The sequence below is a fragment of the Homo sapiens genome, chromosome 10 (genome assembly GCF_000001405.40).
Source record: "Homo sapiens chromosome 10, GRCh38.p14 Primary Assembly".
Lineage (NCBI taxonomy): Eukaryota > Metazoa > Chordata > Mammalia > Primates > Hominidae > Homo > Homo sapiens.
The window spans coordinates 6397893-6411875 of NC_000010.11; the positions used below are offsets into that span (position 1 = coordinate 6397893).

At 42.9% G+C, this 13983-nt stretch overlaps 1 protein-coding gene and 1 long non-coding RNA gene across 3 annotated transcripts in view, besides 1 other annotated feature; both read right to left on the minus strand.

Moving 5' to 3' along the window:
* Positions 1–13983, minus strand: part of PRKCQ (protein kinase C theta) — a 186550-nt gene that overhangs the window by 3796 nt on the left and 168771 nt on the right. The window lies entirely within an intron of this gene.
* Positions 437–12538, minus strand: LOC124902370 (uncharacterized). Its single transcript, XR_007062044.1, has 2 exons — positions 12241–12538; positions 437–3909 (listed from the first exon to the last, which is right to left on the minus strand). It is a non-coding gene; the product is annotated as an uncharacterized LOC124902370 (long non-coding RNA).
* Positions 12202–12703: an enhancer, noted in NCBI's record as "NANOG hESC enhancer chr10:6452056-6452557 (GRCh37/hg19 assembly coordinates)". NCBI's record gives its function as "activates a minimal SCP1, AML or CMV promoter by ChIP-STARR-seq in primed H9 embryonic stem cells {active_cell/tissue: H9 hESC(primed)}" and the evidence as "EXISTENCE:reporter gene assay evidence [ECO:0000049][PMID:30033119]".

The window sequence follows — 13983 nt, forward strand, 5'->3', positions numbered from 1 at the left end:
CCAGCCTAGGCAACAAGCACGAGACTCCGTCTAAAAAAAAAAGAAAGAAAGAAATCCTTGCCTAACCCAAAGTCAAGATTTATCCCTATGTTTTATTTTAAGAATCTCATAAGTGTTACTTCTTACATTTAAGTCTATCATCCATTTTGAGCTGCTTTTTGTGCATGGTGTGAGATTGGGGTTCAAGCTCATTCTTTTGAATGTAGATATTCAGCTGTTCTTAGCATCATTTGTTGAAAATCCTATTTTTTCTCCTTTGCATTCCCTTGGCACCTTTGTTGAAAGTCGATGACCATAAATGTATAGGCTTATTTATGTATGAACTCTGTATTCTATTCCATTGATTTTCATGTCTAGTCTTACGCCAGTACCACAATATCTTGATTGCTGTCACTGTGTAGTAAGTTTTGAAATTAAGAAGTGTAAGTCTTCCAACTTAGTTCTTCAAAAGATGATATTTATTTTAAAATAAAGGGCTGTTTGTCATATAATTTGACTGTGTGTTGGAAAATACTTTTAGATTTTGAGAGGCTTGCATAAGTTAGTCAATATTCTTTCATGGAGGAAAAAAGCTTTCTGTGCCCAGCTGTTCAACAACAGGAAAATTCTATAATATGTTTTCTCATTCATTTGGAGTGGGCATGTGAGTCAGCCTTTGGTTGGTTGTTGAAACCTTCTTGAAGAGCCTTATTTCAGAAGTTTGATTTGCTCAATGGACGTTTACCCATCATTTCCTCCATGTCATGGCCTGTGCTAGATGCTGGGAGAGAGAGAGAAAGGAGACACAATTGCTTTCAGGATGCTCACAGTAGAGCAAGGAACGAGTCACAATTTTAGAGCTGAATTTTTCTTTTTCTTTTTTTTTCTCTTTTCTTTTTTGAGACACAGTCTGGCTCTGTCACCCAGGCTGGAGTGCAGTGGCGCAATTACAGCTCACTGCAACCTCTACCTCCTGGGCTCAAGCCATCCTCCCACCTTAGCTTCCCGAGTATCTAGGACCACAGGTGCAAGCCACCACACCCAACTAATTAAAAAAAAATTTTATAGAGTTTTCTGTAGGATTTCACCATGTTGCCCAGGCTGGTCTCGAACTTCTGAACTCAAGCAATCTGCCTGCCTCAGCCTCCCAAAGTGCTGAGATTACAGGCATATCAATACAATGATACAATGATACAATGGCTGAGCCACTGCACCCAGCCATTAAAGCTGAATTTCTGGAGACTGTCAATGTAAACTCCCTTGCTTTGTAGATATGAAAAGGCAGCCTAGAGAATGACAGCTTTGGGTGAAAGCCATAGTGTCCCCACAAGTAAATAATGGTGAGCAGAGTGCCTTGCATATAGTAGGTCCTCGATAAATATTCACCGTGATTTACTTACTAGATGGTATGTAAGCTAGTGGTTGGAATATTTAAACATAAACACACAGACTCAGAATGTTGAGAATGTGCTCAATTCCTTTCTGCAGTGAGTTTTAAATTTAAAGATTCCTTTGTGCTCCCTGCCTAGCCTGGAGCTATTGCTGCGCTCTTGGCAACATCCACCCGGCTGAGCCCAGCAGCCCTTGCCCTGGAGACAGAAATTGCCCCCTTTTTTTTTTCCTTCTTTTTATTTTTTTTTGGCACAGGGTGTGTTGAGACAGGTTGAATAGCCACCCTGGAGTTTTGCCAGAGCCACAAGATGAGGAAGGTCAAGAGGCAGAAGAGAGCAGGGTGAGGAGATGGGGGTGGAGGAGAGGAAGTTTGACATCATGTGGCTTGAATGGCTCAAAATGCTGAAATGCCAGCATTAGTTCAAGCAATTTAGACTTTCAGGAAGCCTGGCCTTTCCCCCTAGAGTCGTTTGTTTAGTCCTGTCTGGTGGGCTTGGCTGGCGGATTCCACAAACTCATGATGAAAAAGTTCTCCAGGCAGAACAGAGATGTGGCCTCCATTCCTACAGGGTAGACAATCAATTCCAAGGGCCCAGCATCTCCTATGAACCCAAGGTCACTCAGATCAAGTCCCCAGGGTGGCAAATGTCTGGCATCAATCGGGGGTTGGGGGGGCGGACACTGAGTTTAGTTCAAGGAAGTATTGCCAGATTTTGTGTGTTCTTCTGTGCCACTGATGGATTTGAATGAATTTGAACATGCTGCACGGTTTGACGCACGTCAGAACTGAAAGAGAAGGCAGAGTCCAGGTGAAGAGCAGGAACGTGGCCAGATTGCCCAAGTTAGAATGGGGCTCTGTTACTAGCCAGCTGGAGATGTCGGCTGCTGACTTGGTGTTCTCTACCTGAGTTTCCTCATTCAACACTGAATCCCCCGGCTCTGCCCTTCTTTCATCTGTAGCCCCAGTACCTTTTAGCAAACTATGTAATTTACTTGTTTGCTATGTTTGTGATTTACTGTCTGTCTTCCTCATCTCCTGCTCTGAAAGGACAGACATCTTGCTTGTTGTGTTTTGATGCATTCCAAGATTCTGGAAGACTTGGAAGACAGCAGGTGGTCCATACACATTTGTTGAATGTGAGTAGTCACAGTACCAACCTCGCTGTGTTGTTATGCAGGTGAGATGACTTAATACTGTCATATACGCAGGGCAGTCCCAGCCCTGAGCAGTGTGCCCTGAACTATATTTCAACACACAGCGAGAGCTGGATCTCTCGAGCAATCCCACGTCCCGTGTCTCGGCAGGCCCAGGACAGTTCTGCTTTTAACCTGTTTCCTGGAGTAATTGCTAACAGTGCTTCCTTTCAGAAAAAAAAAAAAAAAGGCTCATTTTAGCTAGTAAATTATATGGTTTGGCTACATGTAAGTGTTTTTACTCATTCATTTAAGAAACTGAAAAAAAAAAAAAAAATCTGCCAGCTGGCATGCACCTACAGTCCTGGGTGCTCGGCAGGCTGAGGTGGGACGATGCTTGAGCCCAGGGGTTCAAATCTAGCCTGGGCGACATAGAAAGACCCCACTTCTACAAAAAGCAGAAGAAAGAAAGAAAAAATATTGAATGGGTACCATGTTAGATGCTAAGAACAACGACCATAGTTCGTTCCCTTTTAGAGCTTACTGTCTTCTGGAGAACTTGCAAAATTAAATAATTCAAATTTAAAACTGTTGGAACTTTATTCTGAGCCTTGAGAGAAATGGACTGAGTCACATAGCATGCCGTTGCAACTTCTGCTTTTTCCCGTAAACGATTAGGAATGACCGAGTAGCACCAGAAATAAGACCCTCTGAGTGGTGACCCCTCAGAACATTACTCTTGTCCTCACAGAACATTACAGCCATCTTCCATGGAATGGAGCAAGCCACCCTAATCAAATCGCTATGACATGTATCTAGCCTTGCACGGAAAACATTGCAACCTGCCGAAACCATCTCTACCTATGTAAGCACAGCCTTAGCTTCCCCACTTTAGAGCATGTCCCTTTGGGGTCTGTGTTTTCCGGGTGACCGTTCTCAAGCTCTGTACTCAAATAAACCCCATACTTCATCATATTTTCTGTATCACCTTATTTAAGGTCAACAAACTTTAAGGACATAATTAAGTAGACAACCTCATGACTTGAACACATGGTTAATAGTAATAATTGGATTGACATCCATATAGTTCTCCTCTGTTTTAGGAGAGGGCTGGTTTTTTTTTTTTAAATATTGATCCATTTTCGTGCTTTGTATAGTAACCCAATGAGGTAGAAGTGATTACCGCCACCCTTTTACTGATTACAACACCTGGGGTTCTGAGCGCCAGCCACTTGGTGAGGATTGCGGGGCCAGGGCACTCTGGTCCCAAAGCTCTGATTCCCACGGGCTTTCCTGCTGAGTCACGCTGTCTGCTGGGAGCTGTTGACCCGCCGTCTCTTTCTCTGACTTCCACCCGATAATTCTACATGGCTCTGCAATAAGCAGCTTTTTTCTTATTATTTCCTACAAATACATAGGTTACACTCTGATTAAAGGCAGAATACACATCTTGAATTAAGGGGAAGGCTGAAGCCTGGAATTCTTCCCATCTCTAATCCTGCCTGGTCACTGAAGTTCCTGAGTCCTCAGCTCAGGTCTGAGGCAGCCCTGCCCAGCAGGGACGGAAACTGCAGCTTTTTCATGTTCCTCTGCCTCCCTCTAGTGACTCAAGTCCAAAATAGTGCGGCTGGGAACTATTGGAAGAACACAGACGCTGCAAAGAAGCTGGAAACCATCATTCTCGGCAAACTAACACAAGAACAGAAAACCAAACACCGCATGTTCTCACTCATAAGTGGGAGTTGAACAATGAGAACGCATGGACGCAGGGAGGGGAACATCACACACCGGGGCCTGTTGGGGGATTGGGGACTAGGGGAGGGATAGCATTAGGAGAAATACCTAATGTTGATGGGTGCAGGAGACCACCATGGCACGTGCATACCTATGTAACAAAACTGCGTGTTCTGCACATCTACCCCAGAACTTAAACTATAATTTTAAAAAACCCCAAAAGAGTGCAATTTCAATGCCAAAAAAAAAAAAAAAAAAAAAAGCTGAGCTTCATCTATTCCTTCCGCTCTTTCCTCCCTCACGCCTACCATGTGTGAAGCACTGTACCCAACATGAAGGACACAGACAGAAAAGCCTGACTCCGCATCTCCCTGCTCGGGTTGCCTTGGCAACTTCTCCGTGTACCCAAAGAAGCAAAGGGGACTTAACAATTTCAAAGAAGAGTGGCAGTAACTACTTTTTCTGTTCCGAGCTTTCTTGTATAAAGTGAAGCACTGTGTGGCCTTTAAGAGTTCTATTAAGGGCCGGGCAGGGTGGCTCATGCCCGTAAATCCCAGCACTTGAGGTCAAGAGTTCGAGACCAGCCTGGCTAACATGGCAAAACCCCGTTTCTACTAAAAGTACAAAAATTAGCCAAGTGTGGTCGTGGGCACCTGTAGTCCCAGCTACTTTGGAGGCTGAGACAGGAGAATCACTTGAATCCAGGAGGTGGAGGTTGCAGTGAGCTGAGATTGTGTCACTGCACTCTAGCCTGGGCAACAGAATGAGACTCTGTCTCAAAACCAAATAGAAACAAAAAGAATTCCATGAAGGGAATTAGGACCACTTTTTAATTCAGTGTCTGCACACTATCTCCTGACCACCTGGCTGCTGCTTTTCCTCCCTGCTTCCTGTCCTCCCTTCCTCTCTACCTTGCTCTACTCTCCTATCCCTTCACTGGTGCTCCTTTTGTGTTTTATCTCCTCTGCCAATCAACATGCAGGGCAAGGAAGCCAGGCATAGCACCGGGCACTGGCCGGCCCTGCTGGTCGCTCTCATGCCTGAAGCTCTGTGCTAAAACACCTAGTTTCCGGCAATGTGCAGACGGTGGACACTCAGAGGTGGGGTGCGGCAGGATTCAGACTTCTCAAGGACACCATAGTGTGGCAAACACTAAGGAGTTCGCTGCCAGTGTCTTAGTCGGAGTAGGGCAAGGCTATGGAGTAGGGTCCCTTCTATTTGGAAAAGAGAAAAGTGCTTCTGATGTTATTTTTATATAATGATCCAGGCAGCTTGGTTTGACCATCCAACACCTGCAGAGCCCAGCTCAGCATTCATGTCTTCATTCCCCTCTGCTATCTCTGGGGCATATCCAGTGTCCCTGAACCGTGAGTTCCCGGCTCACTCTCAGGTTTCTGCCGACTTTGGTGGGTCTAAGATGAGACCTTTGGTAACCACAGAAACAAAGCTTCTCCCCATGCTCATGGCCTGAGGAAGCTTTGGAAAGGTGTTATATGGATGTTTCAAATGCTGTGTCAGACCATTTTAATCTACGCACCTCTTATTATTGTGTCTGAGCACAATGTATTGCAATCCAGTGTTTATCTCTCCTATTGAAATGGAGACAGCTAAAGGGTCTGCATGATGCTAACTGAATTTTGTATTCCCAGTGCCTAAGACATAGTTGGTGCTCGATAATTGTTTGTTTCAGGGATAAATGAATGAAAAAAAAAATGAATGAGTAATCATTAGCCTCAGCAATACTTTGTTCCCAAAGTCACACACACACTCATTTATTTCCTCCTAAGAACAGATGCTAGGCCAACAGGTCTTCATGATTTTACAATCTCTATGGTGACAGATAAGACATTAGGGTGCATATGAGGAAAAGATAGGAGATAGCAGGATACGAAGGCCTAAAAAGGGGGAGAGGAAATGGAGAAAAAGTGCCTACAGATTCTAATAACTGAGAGACAATTTTTAGGATTATGGTCACAGTTTTAGTAGCAAGAATAAAAAAATGCAGAATTCTACCCTTTCCTTGCCAAGATTAGATAAGGGCAAAAATCCTTTAATGGCATTAAAGAGAAAGAGAAAAGAAAAAACTAGAGAGAGAGAGAGAGAGAAAGGGAGAGAAGGGGGGGGGAGAGAGAGAGAGAGAGAGAGAGAGAGAGAGATTGCATGGCCAGAGGTCTAACTCAAATACTTGCAATGTTCAGATAAAAAACCCTCTTCCATGCCAGACTCTGACAATGGATTCATTCTTTCTTTCGTTCTTTCTTTTCTTTCTTTCCTTCTTTCTTTCTTTTTTCTCTTTCTTTCTCTCTTTCTTTCTCTTTCCTTTCTTCCTTCCTTTTTTCCTTTTTTCTTTCTTTCTCTCTTTCCTTTCTTTCTCTGTCTCTCCTTCCTCCCTCCTTCCTTCCTTCCCTTCCTTCCTTACTTCCATCCTTTCTTCCTTCTTTCTCTTTCTTTCTTTCTTTTTTTCTCTCTCTCTTTCTCTCTTTCTTTCTCTCTTTCCTTTCTTCCTTCCTTTCTTTCCTTTTTTCTCTTTTTCTTTCTCTCTTTCCTTTCTTCCTTCCTTTCTTTCCTTTTTTCTTTCTTTCTCTCTCTCTCCTTCCTCCCTCCTTCCTTCCTCCCTTCCCTTCCTTCCTTCCATCCTTTCTTCCTTCCTTCACTCCTTCCTTCCTTCTTTCTCTCTCTCTTTCATTCTTTCTTTCCTTCTTTCTTTCTTTCTTTCCTTCTTTCTTTCTCTTCCTTCCTTTCTTTCCTTTTTTCTTTCTTTCTCTCTCTCTCTCCTTCCTCCCTCCTTCCTTCCTCCCTTCCCTTCCCTTCCTTCCTTCCTTCTATCCTTCCTTCCTTCTCTCTCTCTCTCTTTCTTTCTTTCTTTCCTTCTGACATGGGGTCTCACTCTGTTGTCTAGGCTGGAGTGCAGTGGCACAATCTTAGCTCACTGCAATCTCTGCCTCCCACAAGTGATCTTCCAACCTCAGCCTCCCAGATAGCTGGGTCCACAGGTGCACGCCACCACACCCTGCTAATTTTTTGTATTTTTGGTAGAGACAGGGTTTCACCATGTTGGCCAGGCTGGTCTCAAACTCCTGAGCTAAAGCAATCTGCCCATCTCAGCCTCCCAGAGTGTTGGGATTACAGGCGTGAGCCACCGCGCCCGGTCAGATTCTGTTTTTCATAGTGAGAGCTTCACAACAAACAGATGTGTTTCCTTGGGAAGCAGTGTTCCTTCAGGCAGATCTGTGCACTGGGCAGCTCTCCGTTTGCCGTCCTCTCATCTTGACTTTCGTGAACTCTCTCCTTTTGCGTCCTGGACCCCACCCAGGGAACTGCTCACTGCCTTGCTGGCAGGTTTGCAAATCACCCATGACAATAACTTACGTGTTTATTACCCAGTGCTATTGGCATTTTCACTGGGGAACTCCAGCGCCCCGCAAGTCTTTCTGACCTCAAGAATAAGGTTTTTAATAGCCAAGTGTTAAGTGTGGTGGAATGGGAAGGTGGATATTTTGGAAGAGGGAATTTGCCTTGCGTCTTCCCAACTATGCCCAAGAGCCCACTAGATGGCTCAAGTTCTTTATCCTGCTCTTTGCAAATGGACTGTCGCATGATTCTAGGTCTAGAGGAAGCTGATTGCTGCTACTGGAAGGGTCAGGCTTTGAAGGACAAGTGCGGGAGTGCTGGCTACTTTATGGTACTCTATGACTGGTGCACCCATGTGCCCATGGGGAGCAATGACAGCTCCAAAATCTCACAGGTTGGCACCTGTTACCAATGTTGTCCCATTTCCATGCAGCTGGGAGACCCTCAGTGGGAATGATGATTTCTTCTTGGTATAACCTCAAGTCAGGCATGTTGCTACCAAGAGCTCGCACATTCAGAGGGCCCATCCTGGAGGACATTTGGGCCATTTGTTTTGGGCCTTTGTTGCAACTAACACTTTTCATATTTTACCAACATGGAGAAAGAGCATTATGATAATAATGCCCTTTGGAATTGAGATTAGATTATAAGGAGTGAAATCTAAAGCATTGTGTGAATTTAAAATATACAACATTTTAGAAAAATCCTTGGGTTAGAATTAACTTATGTTAGAAACTGGAGATGCCTTAGAGTGCCTATATCATCCTAAAATTGTTCTTTTTAAAATTCAGAACTGTGTTCCAGACAGTTTCTAACACCAAATAATCAAACTACTTTTTTTTTTTTTTCATGACTAAAGTAGGAAAAATTTGCACAATGGGGCCCGTGTTCTTTTGAGCTCTAACCTGTGGTTCCAGAATTCGGCTGTAAAATAATGTTTGCTGAAGTCGCTCCCCAGTGGCTAAAATTGTGATTGCAGATTATACCAATGCAGAATTTGTTGTATGGTACTGAGTAATTTTTAATTACAATTTTAAATTACTTTCCCAGTTTATTTTAATGTTTCAATAAAGTTTTTTTGAAAAAGGAAAAAGAGAGTCACTTTCTAGTCAATGTGTTATGTTTAACCAGAAGGCTATTATAATTTTTATAGACACAAAACAGTTCTGAATAATGCCATGAAACGAATATGTCTTTGTGCAGATCTTATGATAATATGTTCATTCTGGAGTAAGATGTGCCGCCTGAGGCACTGAGGGAATGGCTCACCGTCATTACCATGGGTACTCACTCACCACTGTCAAAACCAACAAGGAAGCAGAGTTTCAGCCACTTTTAAACGATACTTTTCAGCTACAAGATGCAAATGTTTGGTTGATCTAGTGTAAGATTAATTAGAATGTCTCATATGAGTACAGAAACATGCATTTTCAGTATGATGATTTAAGCACAGCTAATAAAGTTGAAATGAACGAATGCACTTCGAATATGCAAAATATACCATCCTTTGTATTTCCTCGGGGGTAAAGCCCTTTGAAAAGATCAATGAGTGAAGTTTAAAAACCACAGGCATCATTTTTCTAATTTCACAAACCCAAAAAGAGCTATGGGTTCTAACAGATCACTCTAAAGAATTTGGTAATTCATCTATCCAACTTTCACTCTGCAAATGTTCAGCTCTGTTGCGGGCTGGAGACATGAGACAGAGAAGATGCAATCCCATGCCGGCTGAGCTTGCAGGTAAGCGAGCACCCAGTCCTGAATGCAGTGGGCGTGCATGGTGCCGGGGTGTGGGGGGTGTGAGGGGATGAGTGGGGGCATAAGAGGCATCTGGAGGGGGCAATATTGGAGCAGAAATCAGGAGGAGGCGTTCAAGTGAGGGGGAATGACTTCCAGGCAGCAGCTTGTGTCGGGCCCAGAAGCAAGCATGTGGTGTGCTTGGAAAGCTACATGTGTGCGCATGCATGCATGTGTGGTGTACATGTTCAGTGTGTGTGTGTGTGTGTGTGTGTATGGTGTGTATGTATGGTGTTTGTGTCATGTGTATGGTGTGTTCATGTGTGTGTATGGCATGTGTGTATGGCGTGTGAATGTGTGATTGTGTGTGGTATGTGCATGGGACATGCACATCTGTGGTGTTCGCATATATGATGTGTGTATATGGGTTGCATGTGAATGAATGTGTGTGGTATGTGCATGTGACGTGTACATACATGGTGTGTGTGGTGTGTGTGTTCATGTAACAGACAGAACAGTGTAATGAATCTCCATGGTCCCATTATCTAGATTCAATTCATGGCCAATTTTGTTTCATCCATATCCCCACCTAACTCATTCTCCCTAGTATTCAAGCAAATCCCATATATCATATCATTTTATCTGTAAAATCCTTATGTGTATTTGTAAATAAGTATAAAATGATATATCTATCTTGAAACTTCTCTAAAAATGTTCTTTTTAAAACCTAGCCACAATACTGTTATCACACCAAGAAAATTAACATTAATGTTTAGTAGTATCAAGTCTTTAGTCAGTTGTTCAAATTTCCAGTGGTCTTGTGTCAGTTTTTTTTTTTTTTTTTTTTTTTTTTTTACATTTTTTGGAATCAGGATCCGGATAAGGGCCATATACTGTGATTCACTGATGTCTTTTAAGTTGTATTGGACCTATAGTTTTATCTCCCCTACTTTTCCTTGCAATTTATTTATTGACACTTATCTTAGGGAATTGCTCAGTTTAGATTTTGCTGATTACATCTCCAGGGTGTACTTTGACATATTATTCTGTGTTCTGTATTTCTTACAAATTAGTACTTGGACATAGACATTTGACCAAACTCAGGTTTGATTGATGGATTTAGTTTTTTTGGCAAGGCCACTTTTTGTTTTTTTTGAGATGGAGTCTCACTCTTGTCGCCCCCGCTATGCACTGGCTAGATCTCAGCTCACTGCAACTTCTGCCTCCTGGCTTCAAGTGATTCTCCTGCCTCAGCCTCCCAAGTAGCTGGGATTACAGGCGCCTGCCACCACACCCAGCTAATTTTTGTATTTTTAGTAGAGATGGGGTTTCACCATGTTGGCCAGGTTGGTCTTGAACCCCTGACTTCAGGTGATCCTCCCACCTTGGCCTCCCAAAGTGCTGGGATTACAGGCGTGAGCCACTGCGCCTAGCCTTGGCAAGACTGCTTTAGAGAGAGTATTCTGTTCTTCATGTGATAAACATTTCCTGAGACCCAGTTGTCTTTCTTTTGGAGATGTTAGTAGCTGTTTATTAACTCATTGGAAGATGCTATTTATCCACTCAAACGTTTATGGGATTTAGGTTGTTGATAGGTTTTTGCTGTTATGAACAATGCTGCTCTCCATATTCTTACACTGCCTCCTGGTAATAGCTTGAATATGAATTTACGCAGAAGTGGAACGGTGGTCATAGAGCATGTTCAGATTCAGTTTTACTAGTCAATTCCAAATTGTTTTCCGAAGCTACTGTTGCAGTTTACACTTTGATCAGCAGGGGATTCATGAAGTGAATTTTGTGCAGTTTGCTTTCTGGTCTCACTTTTCAAGTTTTGCCAGTCTCATGGATATATACTGGTTTTTCATTTTCACAGTGAGAGAGAGGGGAAAGGAAATTAGTGTTTTAAGTGACCAAGGTTGTTTGTCACCATCCACTAGTAACTGGCCCAAGGAGGACAGTGGAAAAAGAATGAAATCTGGATGTATGTTGCTTGTGACCTTATAGAACAGGCATTAATATGGGTGTTCCCCGCAGCCAGAAGTTGAAGTATCTATTTCTTTTTCTGTTTTAGTTTATTTTATTTATTTATTTTTAAGACAGAGTCTTGCTCCGTCATCCAGGCTGGAGTGTAATGGCACGATCTCGGCTCACTGCAACCTCTGCCTCCCAGGTTCAAGCGACTCTTCTGCCTCAGCCTCCTGAGTAGCTGGGATTACAGACATGCACCACTGTGCCTGGCTAACTTTTGTATTTTTAGTAGAGATGGGGTTTCACCAAGTTGGCCAGGCTGGTCTTGAACTCCTGACCTTAAGTGCTCCGCCCGCCTCGGCCTCCCAAAATGCTGGGATTACAGGTGTGAGCCACTGCGCCTGGCCTCTTTTTCATTTTACATACACTTTCTGGAATTTCCAATTGGAATTTCATTTCAGCTATTCCTGAAAGAACTTTCAAATGACACAGTTTTGATAATATGTTTTCTTCCATTTAGATTAAATGTGGGTAACTCTACAGAAGGTTTTTTTTTTATAGCTTGGAGGAGATAATGTAGCATAAATATTGATATATTGAAAAGCTATCATTTTCATGGAATGGGAAAAATAGCTAGAATTAAGATAGCAAGCTAAGATAAAGTCTCTGTGTTCATGCAGTTACTCCAATGCCAAAATTACAAGTCTTATAATGTAGAAAGGTTAGTTCATTATGCCTTGGTGAAATGTGTTAAAAAGCTGTTTGTTGCCACGACAAACAGAAAGTTTAAGAGCCTGCTCAGCTTCTCCATTGGAAGAAGATTGGCAGAAGCTCATAAACTATGAAGGGGAAGGAGTGCAAGTCAGCCCTTTTACCCTCTGGGCTACTCACTGCTCAACGAATGTCTCCACGCTCTTCCTGTTGCATTCAATAGCCATTACTTACCACTGACAAGAAATCCTAGGCTTCCTTGGATGAGCTGAAATGCTGTTACCCAGCTGTTCTCAGGCCTTTCTTATTTCCTGCTTTGGTCTGATGATCTGTTGTTTCCTTTTGAGATGATTTGCAATTTGTTCTTCTTAAGGGACATTTATGGGGTCATTTCAAGTGTTACTTACTTGACAAGATATGTTAAAGTGATGTAAATCCTTAAGTTAAATGAACAAAGCTCTTAATTGGAATTGGAAGTGCCAGAGATCACAGCTGGTTTTCTGTTTGGAATACTCCATCATACCAGCTGAGTGAAGCTGCTGCCTTCTTGGGAGGAAATGTAGGGCAGAGGGTGGGGCTTTATTTCTAGGTCAGCAGCTGCTGAGGTTAACTCAAAACAATGACATCACCCAGGGCTCTAAGTAGCAGTGGTGTTTGGAAATGCACAGGGGCATCTGGGTTTTCAAAATAGCCTGGGGGTGTTGGTGGTGGGCATGATTGGCATTTAGTGCTTGGGAGCCAGGTAGACAAAATGTCTTACAATGAGTTGAGCAATTCCACCCAGCAAAGAATAGTCTTGTCTGGCAGGGTGCAGTGGTTCACACCTGTATTCCCAGTAATTTGGGAGGCCAAGGCGGGTGGATCACCTGAGGTTAGGAGTTCAAGACCAGCCTGGCCAACATGGTGAAACCCTGTCTCTACTAAAAATACAAAAACCAGCTGGGCGTGGTGGCGGGTGCCTGTAATCCCAGGGGAGGCTGAGGCACGAGAATCGCTTGAACCCGGGAGGTGAAGGTTTTAGTGAGCCGAGATCACACCACTGCACTCCAGCCCAGGCGACAGAGTGAGATTCCGTTTCAAAAAAAAAAAAAAAAAAAAAGGTCCATTCCAAGATGCCAATCATCCCTGTTGAGAAACACGGCGGACGATTAGAGCTAGCACGCTGATCTTTGAGTTTTACGGAAAAATCAATTGTTCTTAGGTCATCGGTATATTTTGTAGCCTCTAGCTTATAATGAGAGAGGAGTCTACATAGTTCATAGAGGGACTCAATTATCTGATAGTATTTCGGCTTTCTGTTCTTTAAGCTCTTTATCAGTTAGTGAGGACAATCATAGCCCCTCCCTTTTATAGTCATTATGGAGATTAAAGGAGTTGATGTATTTAAAGCACTTAGAAAGTTCCCTGGCACATAGTAGGCACTCAGTAAATATTAGCTATGATTATTTTTTTCCTCATGCCCCTTGGGAAAACTTGGCATTGCTTGACAGTTATTCCAGAAACATCACTCTAGCCTCAGAAATCTCCAAAAGGTCCGGTGATATTTTCCCTAGGAGGAGACAAATTCCTATGGTGGTAAGTGATTGAAAAAAGGGATCATAATAACACAATAGAAGGACATCAAAAACAAATAAAACTGACTTCCTGATTTTGTCTGGAGATTGGCAAATTTAGCCTTTAGACCGAACCCTGTTCTGTAAGTAAAGTTTCATTGGGACACCCATTTGTTTCCGTATTGGCCGTGACTGTTTTTGCACAGCAGGGTTGAGTAGTTGCAACACAGACTGTATGGCTGTCAAAACCTAAAATATTGGCTAAATTGTCCTTTACAGAAACATTTGCTGACCCTGGTACATAGTTTACATTATGAGTTGGCTACTCATCACTGTCACCTGAGGGCCACATCTTATCAAAGCTCAGAGAGATAAACACAAAGGGTTTAGGATGAAGTGTTTTACAGGGATAGTAATGCCATAT